The following is a 21777-nucleotide window of genomic DNA, read 5'->3' on the forward strand; positions in this document are numbered from 1 at the left end:
TATTCTCCCCCACATGCGTCACCACTGCCCTCACTTCTCTCAGCATGGACTCCTGTCTTTGATAAAAGACCAAATCCCTGGTTTTGTATGTTATGGAAGTGAAATGCAGTCATATGGATTAGTTTGTGTCTAGCTTCTACTGTTCAGGACTTCACGCTCTTTGTTGCATGTAGGCATGGACTCTTCATTGTCTTTGTGAGGTGGTGGCCATTGTGGGGCTATCCCGCAATTTCTCTTCAGTTGTTAATAGGTATTAGGGTAGTTTCCATTTGCAGCTGTTACAAATAGGCTGCTGTTAAAATTCATGTATGTGTCTTTTGATGGCATGTATTACTGTTATAATCAGGAAAGAACAAAGAAAACTATTTCCATTTGGAAAGATGGGGATGGCCAAGTGGGATGTTTTCATAAAAGGGCTCTGGAGTACGAGACAGAACACGAGTCTTCCTTCTGGCTTCTCTATTCTCTAGTTCTACAACTTTAGGCCAATCAGTTAACCTCAGTGAGTCTCAGTTTTCTTATCTGTAAAATATGAACGGTAATGCCTGTCATTGGTAGGCATTACTACCTCACAGGGTAACTGTAACAATCAAATGAGATGATGGATATGAGGAAAAAAATTTTTAAGGTGTCATGCAAAAAATAATGACCAGGTGTGGTGACTCATGCCTATAATCCTAATGCTTTGGGAGGCTTAAGCAAGAGGATTGCTAGAGCCCGGGAGTTCAAGACTAGCCTGGGAAACATAGTGAGACCCTGTCTCTACAAAACTAAAATGAAATAAAAATTAGTCAGGCATGGTGGCATGCACCTGTAGTCTCAGCTACTTTGGAGGCTGAGGCAGGATCGCTTGAGTCCAAGAGTTCAAGGTTACAGTGAGCCATGATCATGCAACTGCACTCCAGCCTGGGCAACACAGCAAGACCCTGTTAAATAATAATAATAATGTATTTATTTCTCTTATTAAAGAAAAAATTAACAGCAACAATGTGATGCTCTTATCTGTTTTAAAATTTTGAACTTTTGACTTTCATTAGACATGAGAGCTCCCGAATCCCTGATCCACTGTGGGCCACAAAAGAGAAATGTCTCAAAATGTCCAATCTCCAAAGGTCTATATTTCACATGAGCAAGTGGGAACATGTGGCCTGTGCCATGTTTTTCCCCTTCCAGGTGGCTCGCATTAGTTGGGGGCTCCTGGTCTAGATGAGCAACAGAAAACCCCACCGAGGATGCACCGAGGATGCACAGAGGAAAAACCCACAGAGGAAAAACCCACAGAGGATGCACAGAGGATGCACAGAAGGCCAGGTCTGGACCTGTCTTCAGACACCAGCCAGTGCCCCATCCTCTACCTTACACTGCCCAACCTCATATAGCAAGGATCTGACGAGAGTGGGCAGGAGACAGGACTCCATGTCTGCTGACCATCAGAGCCAATCTAAGACTCTTCACTCTCCGCCAGCATGGATCATCTGTTAGTTTATGCGGGCTGTTGGAGTCCACACACTGGTGAAGATAGGCAGGGCACCCTCCCACCCAAGTTCTTCCTCCCCATCCACCCAAAACAAACCTTGTGTCCTGAGGCTCATGCCGTGAAATGTGTTGTTTCCTCAGGCCTCACCCGGATGGTTTCTACAAGGGGAGACCTCGAGCAGCCAGCCCACAGATTCTTTGTGAGCACCCACCACACTGGCAGCCCTGTCCTCAGTGCTCTGGGGATACAAAGCTACAGGCTCCCTGCCCTTGGGGCACTCCCACCTGGGTGAGGGGGGAAGTATAGCCTGAATGACGGAGAGTGATATGAGTGAGGAAGGGTCTACAGTGCGAGGGGGCTCTGAGGATGAGCAACATGTGAGAGGGGTTCTGAGGCAAGAGCTCCTGAGAGCCTCCTGGGGAGACGGGGAAATGAATGAGAGCCTTGAAAACTACATGAAACCGGTGATTCTCAGCCCTGGCTGGACATCACCCATGCCAGGGGAGCTTTCACAAAATGCCAGTGCCTGGAACCCCCCTACTCCATCACAATCGATGGCTGTGGGGCCCGGACATCAGTGTTCTTCCAAGGCTTCCCAAGTGGGTCTAATGTGCGGCCACACCTGAAACTGAAACTTACTGCACTAGGAGATAGAGACTCAGTGTAGGCTTTCAGCAGTAGAGGGACATGATCAAAGGGTCACTCAAGAAATATTTATTGAAGGGAGAGGGCCAGGGTTGAAAAACTACCTCTCAGGTACTATGCTCACTAGTTGGGCAATGAGATCCCAAGAAGCCCAAACCTCAGCATCACATAATATACCTATGTAACAAACCGGCACATGTGCTCCCTGAATCTAAAATAAAACGTTTAGAAGAAACATTTAGTGAGCACCTACTCTGGCTATCCAAAGATGAAGAAGATGTATGTAGTGCCTGCCCTTGTCCAGCCAACAGATTAGGAGAAAAAATGGATCCATAAATATGTGTAATGTAAGGGAAGTTATTTCACATAAGTATGAACCAAGTGCTCTAAGGACATTGAGAGTTGCTAGAGAAAGCATTCTTAGAGATATTAGAACTCTGTCCTGAGAGATGTTTAGGAGTTTCCCAAGCAAAGAAAACAGAGGAGAACATTATACATGAAAGACAGAGTACTACACGGGTGCTGAGTCCTGTGGGGACCAGGTGTGCTCAGGGAATATTGGGAGAGGCGGACAGGAGGCTGGAAAGAATGGGGAAGGTAAACGCCAAGGGCCTGGATTTTATCTGAGCTCTCAGTATTTGAACAATGAGACAGAGGGGACAGGTCAGAAAAGAGAGAGGAAGGTAGACCAGTTAGAAGCCACAGTAGTGATTCAGATGTAAGGTGATGATGGGCTGGACCAAGGAATTGACAGTGGGAATGAGGAAGGGAGAAACCCAAGAGAGATCTCCTTAAAAGGCAATGGAATTTGGTAACAGAACAGAGATAAAGAAAGAGGGAGAGGTGAAGATGGCTCCACAGTGACTAATTTGAGGCAACAGGATAGATAACACAGGAATAGCAAAGACTGAGGACGCTGGGTAGATGACTTAAATTTTGTTTAACTCCAAGACATCCACACGGAGATGTGTCCAAAAGGCTAGCAGAAGGACAGAAGCCGGATTGTAGAAGGTGAAGGGGGAAAATATAAGGAGAGAAAGTGGAATATCCAGATACAAACTATATACACCAGGCACTCCGCAGGAGAAGGAAAGAACAGGGGTGGCACCTGGCAGATCAGGTACCAGCGTATTTGCCAGGACTGGCCCGTGTGTGGGTAGAGACCGGAGAAAGGAGGGGGAAACAGGAGTCGCTGAGGAGATGGTCCGTAAGGCACAGGAGCATGGCGTCCAACAGAGGGGAAGAGTTTGCCTTTAGAGAGGACAGGCATGTCTTTTTTTTTTTTTTTTTTTTTTTGGAGACGGGGCCTCACTCTGTTGCCCAGGCTGGAGTGCAGCAGTGTGATCTGGCTCACTGCAACCTCCGCCTTCTGGGCTCCAGCAATTCTCGTGCCTCAGCCACCCAAGTAGCTGGGATTACCAACGCACCACCAAGTCTGGCTAATTTTTGGATTTTTAATAGAGATGGGGTTTTGACATGTTGGCCAGGCTGGTCTCGAACTCCTGGCCTCAAGTGATCCGCCTGCTTCGGCCTCCCAAAGTGCTGTGATTACAGGTGTGAGCCACCACGCCTGACTAGGGCAGGCATTTCTTAATAGAGGTAGAGATGTCTGAGAAAATGTTCCCCAGGGCCCAGGTCCTGTCTAAAGAGAATAGATCAAAATCATCTAAAGCAGGGCTCAGGAAACATTTTCTGTAAAGGGCCAGATAGTAAATAGTTTAGGCTTTGTGGGCCCTATGGTGCCTGTCACAACAGCTGTAGAACTCTGCTGCTGCAGTGTAAAAGCAGCCACCGACAATGCGTGAGTGGGTGTGCTGTGTTCCAATAAAGCTTTCGTTTCAAAAACAGGCAGTGATTACAATCGTTAATTTTATGTTATGTGAGTTTCACCTCAATTAAAACAAAAGCAGGCCATGGGTTTGATTTGGCCCATGGGGCTGTAGTTTGCAAACACCTGTTCTAGACAGTGGGGCAAGAGGGGTGAAGGGCAGGATGGGGAGGAGCACTTGGGGACTTAGAGAAGACAAGGACTGTGCTGGCTTCCATGGGTCCCATGAACAGTGACCAGTGAATGATCTGAGTTCAAATCTGACTCTGTCACTTCCTAGCTATGGGACTTTCAGTAAATTACTTATTTACTTATCCTGAGCCTCAGTTTTCCTCTTCTATAAAATGGGGAAAAAGAGTACCTACATCATTGCATTGTTCTGAGAATCAAATGAGATAATGAATGTAGGTGGCTAGCATAAGGTCAATAAAGATTTTCTTACTTAATTTTAAGGATTGACTATGAATTGCAAGACCCTAGCTGTTCCTAGGGCTCCAAGCCCTGCCTGGGGTCCCTGATCATGGATCAGCTCTTCTCTGGACTGTTGTCTAGGCAGGGCTTGGAGCCCTAGCAGGCAGAGAGGTGAGACTGGAAAGAAGGGAGGAGTTGGGCACTGGGGTGGGAGGTAAAGGAAGAGGCCCTACCAGTCAGTGGCAGAGAGAACAAAATGTATATCCCCAGATCTACGGAGAAATAGACCCCACAGGTGCAAACACAAACTTCATGCACACATGCACACCAAGATGATGCAGCCCGTCTCCACCATGCTTGGTAAAACAAGGTTCTGAAGTGCTTTGTCTCCAGCTCATCAACGTGACCCACAGGGACAGGCCTCATTGCAGTGTGGTTTATTGGACCCCAGTGTGGACCAGTGTGTCTCACCGGCACTAGCAACTGAAGCTCTGGTCTGGGACTCCTGCTGCTCGCTGCAGAGCCTGGAGCTGATGGAGACAGCTAGTCACAGACTCAGGGCAGCCCAAAGCCCTTCCACCTGTGCTTCTCAAGCCTTAACAAATCACCTGGAGAGGGATTGCTTAAATGGAAGGGCCCCAAATCTGCATATTAGCAAGCATCCCAGATGATTTTTTATTTTATCAGTGAGCTGAGGACTACACTTTCAGACATAAGGCTTTACTTCCTCATCTTTGAATGCAGTCATATGATGGTACAAGGAGGTCCCCAACTTCCTTCCTGGACTGTGACTATACGGCAGGGTCCACCCTTATCTCTTATGCTTCCTCCTCATTGCTCATGAGAAAAAGATAATCTGAGGTTGTATTTCTTGGGGTGACATAAGTAATTCTGAAATACATGTGAGGATGTTCCAAGACACTGGGTTTATTCAGAAAAGCAAAGCACCAGTCCAGGGAAAAGCTGATCCAGTGTTCTTCAGCCAATGAGAAAATTTTATGGGTAATCACTCTTCTCAGGACACTTCAGTTGAACCATCAAGTGCAGCCTATTCCAAGACCAGTTTCCTCTCATACTGGCCATCCAAGAGGTCTGTGCCCGATTCTTGCTTCTTCATCCTAGAACACTCTGTTGCTAGCACCTACAAACTGAGCTTCAGGCTGCTAGGGAAGCAGTTGCTGTCATCTAGTATCACAGTTTGTCTGAATCAAGCAAAATAGCTTTGCACACATAGACATTCAATACATACTTAGTGAGTGACGGAACAAATCCATGATGGGTTATACAGGCTGACGGCATGTCAAGAATACTTAAAACCATAAATTGAGATGATTGCTTACAGAAGATACACCTCTACTCCTGTAGATTCAGTTGATTGGGCAAAAAGACCAACATAGATCATGAATAAATGACAGCGTATGAACCTAAACTACAAAGTAATCCACTACACACACACACACACACACACACACACACACAATTTATCAAAATGTATATACAGTCATGTGTCATTCAATGACAAGGATACTTTCTGAGAAATGTATCCTTAGGCAATTGTGTTGTGGTTTGAACATCATAGAGTATACTCACACAAACTCAGAAGGTACTGCCTACTACGCACCAAGGCTGTATGACATAGGCTACAGTTCCTATGTGACAAACCTGTACAGCATGTTACTGCACTGAATAATGTAGACTACTGTAACACAATGGTATTTGTTTATCTAAACATGGAAAAGCTGCAGTAAAAATAAAGTATAAAAGATTTAAAAAGGTACACCTGTACAGGGCGCTTACCGTAAATGGATCTTGTAGGACTGGAAGTTGCTCTGGGTGAGTCAGTGAGTGAGAGGTAGGTGAATGGGAAGGCCTGGGACATTCCTGTGCCTGACTCTGTAGACTTTATGTAGACGTTGTGTTTAGGCTACGCTAAATTTATAAAAGATATTTTTCTTTCTTCAATAACAAATTAACCTTAATGTAACATTTTTACTTTATAAACCTTTAATTTTTTTAACTTTTTGTCTCTTTTGTATTAACATTTAGCTAAAACACAAACACATTGTATAGCTATACAAAAAGATGTTCTTTCTTTATATCCTTTACTTCCTTATTCTATAATTTCTGCTTTTTTCTACTTTTCTACTTTTTTTCTAATTTTCTAATTTTTTTCTACTTTTAAATTTTTTTACTTGTTTTTACTTTTTAAGCTTTTTTGTTAAAAACAAAGATACAAACACACACATTAGATCTACACAGGGTCAGGATTATCACTATCACTGTCTTCCATCTCCACATCTTGCCCCAGTGGCAGGTCTTCAGGGGCAATAATACACATGGAGCTGCCATCTCCTGTAATAACAATGCCTTCTTCTAGAATACCTCCTGAAGGACCTGCCTGAGGCTGTTTTACACTTAACTCTTTTTTTTTAATCTGGAAATACCAGATTAGGTTTACTTTAAATTTTAAAAAGAGATTTTAGCAGATTTATTTAATTTTTCTTTTTTCTACACCACTTCTCTTTTTTAATTAGTAGCAGGTGTACACTCTAAAATAACAATAAAAAGGCTGAGTGTGGTGGCTCACACCTGTAATCCCAGCACTTTGGGAAGCCAAGGCAGGTGGATTACTTGAGGTCAGGAGTTCGAGACCAGCCTGGCCAACATGGTGAAACCCTGTCTCTATTAAAAACACAAAACAAAATTAGCTGGGTGTGGTTGTACACGCCTGTAATCCCAGCTACTTGGGAAGCTGAGGTGGGAGGATCACTTGAACCCAGGAGGCGGAGGTTGTAGTGAGCCAAGATCATGCCACTGCACTCCATCCTGGGTGATAGAGCAAGACTCCATCTCAAAAATGAAAAGAAAAACAAAAAATAAGATAACAATAAAAAGTATAGTATACTAAATATATAAACCAGTAACATGGTTGTTTATTATCAAGTATTATGTACTGTATATAATTGTATTAATATGTGCTATACTTTTATACAACTGGCAGTGAAGTGGGTTTGTTTACACCAGCATCACCACAAGCACGAGTAATGTGTTGTGTTATGACATTACAATGGCTATAACATCACTAGGTGATAGGAATTTTCTTATATAATCTTATGGGACCCCTGTCATATATGTGTTCTGTCATTGACCCAAATGTCATCATGCGGCACATGACTGCATGTAAATGAATGTTGTTCCTTCCAAATCAGCCCCTTGGGAAGCCTCACAGAATTATTCCAGTGACACAGTCAATCCTCAAAATGTGCTGTGTGGGTATCTCATCTTTGGAATTTGCCTCAAGAGTTGGTTTACTTTATGGTCACATCTCATTTTTGACCCAAAAAAGGTGATTTAGCTTGATCAGTCCCCTTATTCCCAGGCTTGGTTCCAAATGATTTCTGGTGCTTCTAGGAATCAAAAGAACTCTCAAAGGATAAAAATTTACCATTCATTAGAATATTCAAAGGCTCTGAAGAGAGTACCAAAAATGGAATCCCAAGCATGATTTGAAGAATGGCAGAATTGTTGGCTGGAGTGTGTGATTCACCACAGGAGACAGAGCTCTGAAGGCACAAACCTAGTCAAGTCAGGAGACTCACTCATTTGCCCTTAATAAGGAACTTCATCCAGCTTTCTCATCCAGCAGCATGGTGGCAGGAACTGGCCAGATGCCCACCAAACTCAGTCCTCTTCTTCCTGAGCACACAGCTGCTCTGTAGCTCCCAGACTGCTTTCAGTTTGACAGATGATATGTCTACTTCTGGCCAACTGAATGAAGGAGAAAGTGACAGGAGCCCTTTCAGCCTTGGCCCCTAAAACCTTTCTGGGTTCCTCCATGTGTCCCTCTTCTCTCACCTGCCAGCTGGTGCTGAGAATTCAGGGGAAGACTCTGGGGTCATAGAAGGTGTTCAAGCCATGCAACTGAAGGAGCCCAGGTCCCTGAATGACAGTGTAAAGAAAAACTCATTCCCTTCTGACTTGCACTGGACTGTAACATGAACTAGGAATAAATTTATAGTGTTCAGTCACAGCAATGTGGGGGCCGTTTGTTATAGCAGCAAGTCTGGCCTGACTGACACAGACACACAAAATTACACTAAGTTGCCTATGTGAGAAGCAGCTTAAGTAGAATAGAAATTGACACTGCCATTTGGAGCATTTATCCTTATGACTTTCAGTTTGGGGTTCATATTTGAAGCCAGTGTTGTTTTCTCCATCGTCAGCCTCTTAATACATATGGTATATGTCACATCGCACAGATCAGCACTCGTCAAGCCCTCCTGCTGGCTGCTGGGGCATGACTGCTAATCCTTTGAAATGCCACCTGCCCTCAGAGCTCCCCAAAGTGAATCTGATGTATACCACATGGCCTGTATTTTAAGCCAGGCTTCACATTTGGTGAGTCCAACCTTCTCTAACAGAAACAAGAAAGTGCACACATGTACACATGCACTGGTGTGTGTTATTTAAAACAAGATACAGCAGAAAAAAAAAAACAGGCTTTCCAATATTTTAGAGACTCTCATTTAGAGAATCACTCTGCACCTTTTAGAAGGTGGCTGTGTCTCCCTTCACGCCAACGAAAGGTGGTGAGTCTGCATCCCCCACTCACCCTTGGCAGGTTGGAGGTTGGGAGCAGGGAGCTGGTGCCAGCCGTGATGCTGCAGAACGGGCTGCATTCCCGGAAGCACAGCCAGCTGGAGACCCCTGATGCTGGTGGGCCTTTCTCACCATCTGCTTTGCCTTCTACTTGAATGTGGCCTTCTTCCCAAGAAGAGTGCCTTATCAAGAGTCAGGGGCTTAAGCCTCTCCTTCCTGCCTCAAGCTGACTAACTGGCATCTGTTGCTGCTGTGAGCCTCCCCAAAGGAGCCCAGGTACATCTCCAAGACACAGGACTGCTGAGCAGTATTTGGTGAGCACAGATTTCCACAGTCCCCCTGCCGATGGAGAAGTGCAAGCAATGTAGAAAAATCTCCAGCCCATGCACTTCCACAGCGGATCCTCCCCTCTTAGATGTCTATGAGGACCTCGAGGGGATAAGACAGAGCAAGGCGTGAGTTGTTTACTCTCAGGTAAGCCACGGTTCAAAAGAACTGGAGAGCAAGGTAGGTTTTAAGTAACATTTCCAGCCAGGTGCAATGACTCACGCCTGTAATCCCAACACTTTGGGAGGATGAGGTAGGTGGATTGCTCGAGCCCAGGAGTTCGAGACCAGCCTGGGCAACAGAGTGAGACCCTGTCTCTACAAGAATAAATTTTTTTTAAAGTTACCTGAGTATGGTAGTGAGTGTCTGTGGTCCCAGCTACTCAGGAGGCTGAGGCAGGAGGATCACTTGAGCTTGGAAGATTGAGGCTGCAGTGAATTATGACTGTGCCACTGCACTCCAGTCTAGGTGACAGGGTGAGCTCCTGTCTCTAAATAAATAAAATAAAATAAAATAAAATAAAAAATTTCCAAAGCTCTGGGAAGGGAGGGAGGAGGCTGGGCAAAGGATTGATATAGGGAAGTGGCTAAATAAATTTGATAGGCTAAGGGGGTGGCTGGGTGGGGCAGTGGGCAGAGCTGAAATGGCAGTTGAGTGGCAGCTCTGCAGCCTCTCCTCTCTCTGATTTGGGCTTGCAGGTTTCCTGGTGCTGGCTAGTGAGGGTGCGCCGCTGTGTCTGTGTCTTACATGATACAGCATGACCTCCTGAAGCAGAACCCCACTGTGCTCCGAAATTCCAGGTGAGCAGGTGCCAAGACACACTGCAGTTTTCATGGCTTTTTGTTTTTTTCCTGTGGTGTTGCCCACACTAAGTGGCATGGAATGAGCAGGGGTGGGAGGAGAACATTCTTGAGATGCTCCTCCACATCCCCCAGCAACACCCCATCTTTATCTCCTCCAAAAAAATGTGTCTCACTTTTTTAGTACTCACAACTCCACGTGGAGGAAGGTAGGATTATAATTCCCATGTTACAGAGAAGGAAACCAAAGCTCAGAGATGAAGAAGGCTGCCCGAGGCCACAGAGCTAGTAAGTGACAGAGCCAAGGTGGAAACAGAGATTTTCTTTCCCAATTCCCATGAATTTGCAGCCACACCAACCTCCTTCTCAGGTGACCTCACTTAAAAGTAAAAGGCAGGAAGAAGAGGCCTGGGTTACAGGTAGGCCTGCCCTCTCCTGCCTGGGGCCTTCTGCCCCATGTGTCTTTGTCCATCTCATTCTCTTGGTTCAGAAGCCTTGCCATGTCCTCTCACCAACCTGGTTTGAAACTCGCTTCCTCCAAGAAGTCTCCTGGGCTTCTTCCTCACTGGTTGTCTCCCCAGCGCTTGTGGATTCATCTTGTCACATGTTGCTTGGCTGCATGCTGTATGCTTTGTGGTTACGCTCCAGCCATTTCCCGCATGCCCCCAAGTCACATATGGCAGGCAGAAGGATGCCCCTCCAAAGACGGTCTGGTCCTAATCCCCAAAACCTGTGAAGATGTCTCTTACAGGACAAAAGGGACTGTGCAGCTATGATTAAATTAAGGATCTTGAGAGGGGAGACTGTGCTGGATTATCCAGGCAGGCCCGATCTAATCACAAGGGTCCTTCAAAGCAGAAGAGGAAGGCAGGAGAGCCAGAGAAGGAGGTGAGATGGCAGAAGCAGAGGCCAGAGGAGATGTGCTTGCTGCCTGCTGGAGCTGAAGATGCAACAGCCTCGATCAAGGAAAGCAGACACTTCTAGAAGCTGGAAAAAGAAAGGAGCAGACTACCCCACAGAGCCTGCAGCAGGAGCCCAGCTCTGCCGCCTTGATTCTAGCCAGTGAGACCCATTTCAGCCTTCTGACCTCTAGAACTGTAAGATAACAAATCTATGTTGCTTTAAGCCACTAAACGTGTGCAAATTTATTGTGGCAGCCACAGGAAAGTAACACTTCAGGGCTGGGTGTACTGTTCAATTTGTTCCTGTCTCTACTCTCCCCCAAGACCACTTCCACAGGCCCTCAGTGCATACAGTGCACTGGAGCTCAGCATACAGTGGAGGCTCTGAGAACTGCAAGTGACTGCCCCCTGCCCCTCCAGGGGTCTGGGCTGGCTCCTCGGCCTCTCCTCCCACTGGCCTAATATCAGGGGTGGAAAGCCCCCTGCTGGCCCTCCCCCAATTCTCCAGTGTATCAAGGAGGGCAGAAACAGGAACCAACGAATGTGTCAGGTAAAGAGGAGATCAGAGGCTGGATTTTTCCTGATCCAGGATCATGCAAATTCATTTAAAAAATAAAACCCCGTAACATTTAGAGGATTGATTTTTGCTATCACTCTCCGGCCTTCCCTCCTCATTCTCTAGGCACACAGGGTGGCCTGCAAGCCCCTTCAGGATCCGACTTAGCCTACCTCTCCTGCCTCAGGCTGCTGCAGGCCATAGGCTCCTGAAAGCCTAAATTATGGCCAGTCCCCATACACTGTGTCTCATCTCCTTGCCTTTGATCACGCTGTCCCTTCTGTGTAGATGCCCAGCCGTCCTCTCTGCAGCTAACTGCTTGAGTGCGGGTCATTTACCTCCTCCCCAGGGAGCCCTCCCTGACCATTGTCAGAGTGGGCTAGGGGCTCCTTTGCCCATCCATGGACCCTGGCTCTGCCACTGTCTCTGCTGTCACCACCACTGGGCTCCTTTCTTCAGTCCTCACTTCCCTCTACTCATGGAAAGGATGGAACTCCCATCCAACTCCCTTCCTCCATGACAAAGAAGAGGGAACACTCTGCCCCCTGCTCCACCTCTGTCGTCCTGTATTTGCTCCTCCCCATGGTGGGGGGCAATCTGATTGGCCAGTGCCTGGACCACCCTGCATTGGTAGGCAGGGCCCTGAGTTGAAAGGTAATGTGTAGCCACCACATGGTCTCTGTCCATCTGTTACTGGGTGACAAGACCAGCTGCCCTTGCCACCCAGATGGGCATTCTTTCTCTTGGTGCCAGCTTCTCATCCATCCTCATGGGGTCTCTGGATTCTTAGACTTAAGAGGAATAAAGGTAGACACTAGAGGACTTGTGTCAATCCTCTGACCTTGACTGCATTCTCCACTACAGCTCTTAACAAAAGCTTTGCACCCTCGTCCTGGTATTAATACATTAACAGACACATTGTTTCCCATCTCCTCAGTCAGAAACCTGGAGAGAAGGAAGGATGATGGAATCCTGGACCTCAAACTCCCACACTAATTTATAATTGTGCAGGATACCCCCTATTATATAGGTGAGAGGACTTGTTAGCATGACTCCTGGAGACAGCTGAGAAAATCACTGCTGTTCTGGTTCCTCACCTGAGTTTAAGAATGCTCTGGCATTGGGCTGTACTCATCCTTAAGGTCTGAGGTTGGTGGCTGGGGAGTCTGCTTATACCTGCATGGCCTGTGATCATATTTTTACATGATAGAGCTCTGAGACTGGTGAGGTGTACCTGACTCTGATGAGGTGGTTTCAGACACCCATCTACAAAGTTATGAGAACAGTTGCTCCAGCCATGGATGGATGGGTGGATGGATTGATGGATGGATGGCTGGGTAGGTCAATGGGTAGGTGTGTGGGCAGGTAGATGGATCATTGGATGGATCAATCTATAGACTGGTCTGAAGGGAGACCTTCATGGGCCCAGAAGGTCTGATACAACCTTCACTCATTCAGACATTATCACCTACAACTGTGGACTTCTTGGTAAAATTCAGGCCAGGAACCTGCCCCTCTCCCTATCTTAGAAAATGTTGCTGGTCTCACTGTCACATATACCGGCTGTACTGACATTTTGGGGGCATCCTTTAGATAAGAATGATCCAGTGACATGCATGTTTTGTCTGACAACCTGTACTTACCACTGACCTCTGTCAATATGCACGTTATTTATAATCCCTCTTAATGTGCCACCTCAGATCCTCTCTGCTCCACCTGTCTCTGGGGCAAGTCCACTTGTTCCATCTCAGCCGCCACTGGAACAACCAGTTCTGGTGGGCTGCAGCCAGTGTCTTCTTGCTGCAGCCTGCTAAGCACTCACGTCGTGCAGGTCACAATGGCAGGGTTGCTGGTGCCCACCCAGAGCTAACTTTTGGTTATGGGAAGCAGAAGCCAGTAGATGAATTCTGATCCCTTCCTACCCCTAGGGTTCCTGTGGTTTCTCAGCAGAGTCCTTTGAGGTGAAGCATCATTTGCATATGATACTAAGTTGTTGCTAGCCCTCCTCCCCTGCTTTACCCCTCTTTCCTCTCATCCTGCTTCTGTGGCTGCACTCTCCAATCAAGGGGTAGCTCATAAGCTTCCGCTTTCTGAGAAACCCAGGCTAAGACCTGGTGTTACTATTACTATTTTCACAATCTAGCTGGAGTGAAATACAAGATTTTTGGACCTCATTAGAAAGTCAGCCTGTGTAGCACCTGCCTCCTACACTAGACCGAGCCATTCATTTTGGCGACCCCAATGTGGAAAATAATGTTTGAATTCTTTATCATGCTCCATTCTTCTCTTATTCTTTTCCATAAAATCAATCACATTAGGAAGGTGCTCTTCCTGGATACTTGGATATTCTACTGCATTTGGTTTTTAACCTTGGTACCATCTTTTTCAAACTGCTGGTTTTCAAACTCAGTACTATCCTTTTCAGAGTGGTTACTTTCTTAAGTGTATGATTCAATGAGTTTAATAAGTGGATATAATCATAAAACCACCACCGAAATCAAGTTACAGAATAATTTCCCCAGCCAGGCGCAATGGCTCATGCTTGTAATCCCAGCACTTTGGAAGGCTGAGGCGGGAGGATCACTTGAGGTCATGAGTTCAAGACCAGCCTGGCCAACATGGCGAAACCCTGTCTCCACTAAAAACACAAAAATTAGCTGGGTTTGGTGGCACATACCTGTAATGCCAGCTACTTGGGAGGCTGAGGCAGGAGAATCACTTGAACCCGTGAGGCGGAGGTCGCAGTGAGCCGAGATCGCACCACTACACTCCAGCCTGGGTGACAGAGCGAGACTCCATTTCAAAAAAAAAAAAAAAGAAGAAGAAGAAGAATTTCCTCACCACAAAAAGTTGTGTCATGCCCTTGGCAATCGACCCCCTCCCAGACCCAGACCCAGCCTTCTGTCATTGTGCTACTGCCTTTCCTGGAGGTCAAACAAATAAAACTTCAAGTATTTCATCTTTTGTGCCTGGCTTCCTTTACTTACCCAGTGCTTTAAAATTCAGCTACATGGTTTCCTGTGTCATTACTTTAATACTCACTAGGATTCCATTGCGTGGATGCAACAGGATGTTGATCCATTCTTGTCAATAGAGAGTTGGGTCATTTCTACTTTCTGGTTATTTTACATAAAGCTACAATAACGTTGCTTGTTACCTCTGAACTTGACTGGAGCTGGACTCCCAGGCAGTCCTGGATAGAGATGAGCCTGGGGGCAGGAAAGGCCGGGACCTGAAGACAACTGGCAGCCACAGGACTAGAGCTCCACCTTCTTTTTGAAAAGATTTCTCTGGCTGCCACACAAAAATGATACCTTGGCCAGGGTGGCATCAACATGAAAGGGGATATATTTGGCACTACAGCAATTCCAGTTGCTCTTCCAGCCCTCAGCCTCCAGGTCCACTCAGTGACAATGAGCAAAAATAGACATATTAAGATTAGTCATGGCCGGGTGGGGTGGCTCATACCTGTAATCCCAGCACTTTGTGAGGCTGAGGCAGGAGGACTACTTGAGCCTAGAAATTCGAGACCAGCATGACAACATGGCAAAATCCCATCTTTACAAAAATTACAAAGATTAGCTGGGTACGCTGGTGCACTCCCAGCTACTTGGGAGGCTGAGGTGGGAGGATGGCTGGAGCCCAGGAGGTTGAGGCTGCAGTGAGCTGTGATTGCACCACTGTACTCCAGCCTGGGTGACAGAGTAAGATCATGTTTCAAAGGAAAAAAAAAAAAAGATTAGTCATAACAGCACAAAAGGAAAGGAGCAGACAAGATAAGGATCTGTCCACTCAAAAGTCAGGGCCGATTGCTGTGATTACCTTAAGCCCTCAGGACACAGATTTGAGGACTGACCCAGAGGTCTTCAAATGGAGAGAATCAAGCTTAGTCTTGATGGACACCATCAGAGATGTCACCTTTAAGCATTTATCAGAGTTACCAGTTTACATTTTTGTAATTTTTTTAGAAATGCTTGTTTCCTAGTAGAATATCATTCCACTTGTATCCTACAGTGAGTGACATCTGATTACTGGTTTCTAGACTTTTGAGACCAGTCTCCTAGGGAGGTGCTGGAGACAACCTCTTCTCAACACTGCTGAGGAGTGTGGGACAACCTCTGTAAACAAGAGACCTTATTCTTGCTGCTCCAGGAACTACTGGAGGCTGTCACGACAACTATGGTCCCTCAGGCTGAGCTCTAGGCCCAACATGTAGTCATGATATCTAGGCCACAAGACTTGGCCCACAGAGCTCTGTACTCTTTCCAGGAAGCTCTTGGGCAACAATGCAAATGAGACCATACCTGAATTTTGACCTATTCCTTACCATTCTGCTGTCCTTTCTGAAGCAAAGTCAGGACTCCCCACAAAAGCCTTCCCTTCTCTATTAAACTATCACCAGTAAATGACTGTGACAAAGCACCAACTGAAGCACACGCCTTGGGAGCACAGGTGGCTCCTGCACTTGGTGCTTAAGGCGAGCAGTGCCTGATACTGTTCTCAATCCATCCCATGCAATGAGCAGGAACCCCAGGATTGAAGTGGCTTAAACTCTTTGTCACACAATCCAGGGCAGTGTAAGGCAGGCAACTCCTGGGCTAGAAGAGTTGGAAACTCGATGAGTCTCATACAGGCATCATGTGTGGGGCCAACAATATCCATGAGAAAGGGCAACCATCTCTGGAAGCCCTGAGACCCCATCTCAGGTGCTCTTGGCCAAGGTTAGATCATGTCCTTACCTAATCCATCAATGGGGAGGCAATGAGGGCTCCCAAAGGGCTTAAACAGAGTGGTTACTTTTTTAGCTTGTTATGTAGAATTCAAAAAAGCAGATTCAGTAAAGGTTCTGTGATAGGCTGAAAAAGGGCCCCCCAAAAGACCCACGTCCTATTCCCTGGAACCTGTGAATGTTTCCTCTTTTGGCAAAGCGTTTGCAGATGTGATTAAAGTACAGCTCTTGAGATGTGGAGAGGATCCTGGATTATCTGGGTGGTCCCTGAATGCAATCACATGTATCCTTACAGAAAGGAGACAGAGGTAGACTTCATATACACAGAGGAGAGGGTGATGTAAAGATGGAACAGAGAGATTTGAAAATGTTGGCTTTAAAGATTTGGGTGATGTGATCACAAGCCACCAGAAGCTGGAAGAGGCAGGGAATAAATCCCTCGTGGAGCCTCTGAAGGGAGCTCGGCCCTGCTGACACCTTGAATTAACCTAAGTGTTACTGATTTCAGATGTCTGGCCTCCAGAACTGTGAAAGAATACATTTCTGTTGTTTTTAAGCCATCCGATTTATGTAATTTGGTATAGTAGCCACAGGAAACTAGAACAGCTTCTTCTTAAAAAGCGCCTGGGTAATATACCAAAAAAATTAGCCAGGCGTGGTGGTGTGTACCTGTAGTCTCAGCTACTTAGGAAGCTGAAGTGAGAGGATCACTTGAACCTAGGAGGTGGAGGCTGCAGTGAGCTATGATCATGCCACTGCACTCCGGTTTGGATGACAGAGTGAGACCCTGTCTCAAAAATAAATAAAAAGGTCCTCCAAGGTCACCCAACTTAGCCCTTCATAGCTACAACCTTTTTCAGCATTTCTCCTTCCTACATGCCTACTGCCAACTCAGACTCTGCTTTCTAATGATGCTCAGAAATCTGGTATTTAACTAAAGCCAGATTGTGAGAACAGTAATAATAAATGAAACCTCATCTTCCAGGAGAGAACATTAGGATCTAGCTGACCCTTCATCCTGACCTTCCCAGCCCTCACCCACACTAAGCCCCTTCCATTCAACAGCTCAGCATTTCTCAAAATGCGGTCCAAGGACTGCCTGCATTGAATCACCTGAGGCACTTGTTAAAGATGTAAAGTCTAGGACTCCATCTCAGACTTGCCAAATAAAAAGTTTAGGGGTGAGATGCAGAAATCTGCACTTTTTTTTTTTTGAGACAGAGTTTCACTCTTGTTGCCCAGGCTGGAGTGCAGTGGTGTGACCTCGGCTCACTGCAACCTCTGCCTCCCAGATTCAAGCGATTCTCCTGCCTCAACCTCCCAAGTAGCTGGGATTACAGGTGCCCGCCATCACATCCAGCTAATTTTTTGTATTTTTAGTAGAGACGGGGTTTCATCATGTTGGCCAGGCAGGTCTCGAACTCCTGACCTCAAGTGATCCACCCGTCTCAGCCTCCCAAAGTGCTGGGATTACCGGCGTGAACCACCAAGCCCAGCCTGAAATCTGCACTTTTGACAAGCATCCCAGGTGATTGTTAGCCCACTGATTCATGAGAACCTCCACTATAGAAGAAGGAGCCAGAAGTGATCCAACAGTACTTTCCTCCATGGCTTGATGGCGAAGCCTCTGACCCTGGGCCAAGTGCTAAACTTTTCTGGGGAAAGCTACTGCCACGGCCCCCGGTACTGGGTGCTTGTGATGAATGTCAGGCAGAGCTCATAAGGAAACCAAAAGAGTCCTGTCCCCTCATGCCTTTCATGTTGCAAAACAGCTGCGAAGGCATTCCAGGAGTTGAGGACCACAAATTCTTTTGAGAATATGAGTCACCATTAGGCAATTCATGTTAATTCTTTAATTAAAAAGACCCTCACTAAACAATAATAGTTTACAAATGCATGTACCTTTTGATCCTGCAATTCCACTTTTGGGAATTTATCCTAGAGATACACTTTATGCTTGCACATTTGTACAAGATTATTCACTGCAGAGCTGATTGTCATTGCAAAAGATTGGAAAGAATCCAAATGCTCATCATTGTGGAACTGGCGAAATAAATTATAACACATTTATACAATGAAAAAAATGAACAAATGGCATATGAATTGATATGAAATGTCTCCAAGATAGATTGTTAAGGGAAAAAAGCAAGGTGCAGAACATGTGTATAACGTGCTAACTTTTGTGTATAAAGAGAGAATGTGAGACTCTACATTCCCATTTGCTTGTATATCCATAAAGAAATGCTGGATGTACGGATGAGAATAGTGGTTACCTCTAGGCCAGGGTAGACAGGAACTGAGCAGGTGGAGAATAAGGATTGGAGGGAGACTTTTCACTCTATATATCTTTTGGGTGTGGAAACATGTGAGTGTATTATTTATTTTTGAATAAATAATACAATAAAATATAAAACATACACTTATTGTGGCCCTCTGCACAAGCAATCTGGTTGTGCAGAGTCTTGGTGTCCCCTGCTAGTCTTAGTACCTGTATAGAGCTCTTCAGACTGGGTGTCGTGTTGCAGAGGCTAGCACCATTCCTGATGTCACCCTGGGTGAGACGTGGTCCTCAGAATCCAGATTTCCTTTTTTGTCTTTTTCCTTCTTCCACATGTTCTAAGAAAACATAGATTTCTGGCCAGGCATGGTGGCTCACGCCTGTAATCCCAGTACTTTGGGAGGCTGAGACGGGTGGATCACGAGGTCAGGAGTTCGAGACCAGCCTGGCCAACATGGTGAAACCCTGTCTCCAGTAAAAATACAAAAAATAGCTGGGTGTGGTGGTGCATGCCTATAATCCCAGCTACTCAGGAGGCTGAGGCAGGAGAATTGCTTGAACTCGGGAAGCAGAGGTTGCAGTGAGCCAAGATTGTGCCACTGGACTCCAGCCTGGGTGACAGGGCGAGACTCTGTCTCAAAAAAAAAAAAAAAGGGAAAAGAAAATGTAGATTTCCATTGTCCAAAGTGACAGCGGGAGGATGGGTCTTGAGTTTCTCAGGTTGGAGAAGCAGCTCCACGAAGGTCCTGAGCTTGGGTCCACTGTACATGGGACAGCTCCAAAAGAGGAAGGTCCCAGCACTGCATCTAGTAGTGAGGCATCAGCTGCTCCCGGTTCACGAGGGAGGAGTGGTGGTAGCGATCCCGAGTGGCGAAGTCTGCATTCTCCTGGGTGAGCTGAGTCATCTCCATGTCAACCTTAGCCAGGGACGGCGCCAAGATGATCTGCTCCTGAGGGGACCGCAAGCTCCTGCAGTGAGAGAGACACAGAGGATGGTGAGAAGGACAGAACAGAGACTGAACAGTAGAGGTGAGTCTACTGGGCATAAAGAAATTATCTGTAAACACACATGTATTTAAATGTTTAAAACATAATTCTTGAAAGGTATATGTACAGGTATATATGAACTCAAAGCATGAGAAATACAAAGTATCAAATAAAATAAAAAGAGACAGAGAGAGTGATATTTACCCTCCCTAAGTAGAAAAGTATAAAGCTGTACCTACCTGATAGGAAATAACCAACAAAGAGAGGTTTTGCCCTCCAAATGGTATCATGTTGGGGCTCTGTAGCTTTTCTTTGCCTTTTTTTTTGTCAAAAATAATGGAATGGAGAGGCTGGAAAATTGAGAAGAGCAGAAAGAGAAAATTCTCGTAGGTCTATTGAAAAGAAAGTTGAATAAGGAGTGATTTCAAGAGCTAAGGCTCACACAGCAAGCAGCTAAGAGGGACTGCAAAGGCTTTTGACACCAAGGTGGCCTCAGGTGAAGAGCAAGTCCCATATGGATCCCACTGTCACTGGAGTCTCTGCATACAGTTTCGGTTGGAATAAACTGGGAAAGAAAAATGTTAGGGATGCATAGGGAAAGTGCTAAGAGGAAGAAAGGAGTGAGGAAAGCTCAGGCTGGCTGTCCAGGCAGCTGCTACGGAAGGCAGACCCAGTCACAGCTCCATCCCTAATCAGCTAGGTGGCCTCCAGAAGCCTCTTTACCTTCTTGTGTCTCTATTTTCTCATCTTCCCGGGTCTCTTCCAGTTCCTATAGTCTGTGTTAGGTCTGTAAGTCATACCTTAGACATGGATTTCCTCTTAAAATTTTTACTCTAAAAGAATCATCTACTTTATGAGTAATAAGTTTCAATTGTTTGAATATGGAATACATTTGAGAGTTGCGAAAAGGTAGAAATCTAATGTTATTGATCTGTGGAACTTAAACAGAAAGTTTCAACGGACTCTGGCCAAATGTCCTGCTATAGAAGTTCAGATCACATGACTATGGCATTACAGCCAGTTGTTGAGAACATGTATAAATCATATAGGTCTCTGAGGGTTCTTGAGAACTGAATTAACTTCTATAAAGGCTGAATCTCCAAAAAGTTTAGGAGGTGACAAAAATGTCACACCAGTCAACATGTAAGTGTTTTTGCTAATGCTTTTGTTTTGATTTTTTAGGTGAAACCATTACATTCTTCTGAGTCTGGAGAAGTAAAATACTTCACTCTCTAGTCTAGAATGACTTTCAAATCCTCATTTGGACAGTTGCTAGTGCTTCAAGAAAGAAAGCCTTCTCAATGACAGGCTCAACTTCACATAGTTCATGGGAATTGTAGGCATAACAGAGGAAGTAACCTAGCCAAATTCTTCTGCCAAAACACACCCTACATTCTTCTTCTTCTTAGGTTTTGAAGAGCATTTTGGGGGTTATAGTTGGGGACTGGGAGGGGAACTCAAAACTACAAAGCAGAAACACAGCTACCAATCTCTATTTTTATTTTTTATCTTATTTTAATTATTTGAGACAGAGTCTCATTCTATTGCCCAGGCTGGAGTGCAGTGGTTGATCTCAGCTTACTGCAACCTCTGCCTCCCAGGTTCAAGCAATTCTCATGCCTCAGCCTCCCAAGTAGCTGGGATTACAGGTGTGCACCACCACACCCGGCTAACTTTTGTATTTTTAGTAGAGATGGTGTTTTGCCATGTTGCCGAGGCTGGTCTCAAACTCCTGGCCTAAGTGATCGGCCTGCCTCAGCCTCCCAAAGTGCTGGGATTACAGGTATGAGCCAGTGCATCTGACCAATCTCTATTTTAAAATAAATCACCATTTTTTTTTCTTTTTTTTTTTGAGACAAGGTCTCACTCTATTGCTCAGACTGGAGCGCAATGGTGCGATCTCAGCTTACTGAAACCTCCGCCTCCCGGGTTCAAGTGATTCTCCTGCCTCAGCCTCCTCAGTACCTGGGACTATAGGCACCTGCCACATGCCTGGTGACAGGGTTTTGCCATGTTGACCAGGCTGGTCTTGAAATCCTGACCTCAGGTGATCTACCCGCCTCAGCCTCTCAAAGTCCTGGGGTTACATGTGTGAGCCACTGCGCCCAGCCTTTCTTGGTTCTTTCAACCTCCTGAATAACCATCCCAAAATATCGCCCAGCAGCCATGGTAAGGCCAATAAGTTTGATGTTGACTTAGCTGAGGCCTCTGCTCCCCACCTCACAGCCCACAGAGCCT

General features: G+C 45.8%; 1 protein-coding gene and 1 long non-coding RNA gene across 3 annotated transcripts in view; both read right to left on the minus strand.

Moving 5' to 3' along the window:
* Window positions 1–5264: 5264 nt before the first annotated feature.
* LOC124906278 (uncharacterized) lies at window positions 5265–17535 on the minus strand. Its single transcript, XR_007096045.1, has 3 exons — window positions 10604–17535; window positions 9634–9777; window positions 5265–8129 (listed from the first exon to the last, which is right to left on the minus strand). It is a non-coding gene; the product is annotated as an uncharacterized LOC124906278 (long non-coding RNA).
* SLC12A8 (solute carrier family 12 member 8) overlaps window positions 18113–21777 on the minus strand; it is a 130105-nt gene continuing 126440 nt past the window's right edge. For both annotated transcript variants that reach the window (NM_024628.6, NM_001195483.2), the window contains one exon: window positions 18113–19521. In NM_024628.6, coding sequence (NP_078904.4) covers window positions 19359–19521 — 163 coding nt within the window. In that variant the 3' untranslated portion in view covers window positions 18113–19358. The remainder of the gene's footprint in view (window positions 19522–21777) is intronic.

The sequence above is a fragment of the Homo sapiens genome, chromosome 3, assembly GCF_000001405.40.
Source record: "Homo sapiens chromosome 3, GRCh38.p14 Primary Assembly".
Taxonomy (NCBI): Eukaryota; Metazoa; Chordata; class Mammalia; order Primates; family Hominidae; genus Homo; species Homo sapiens.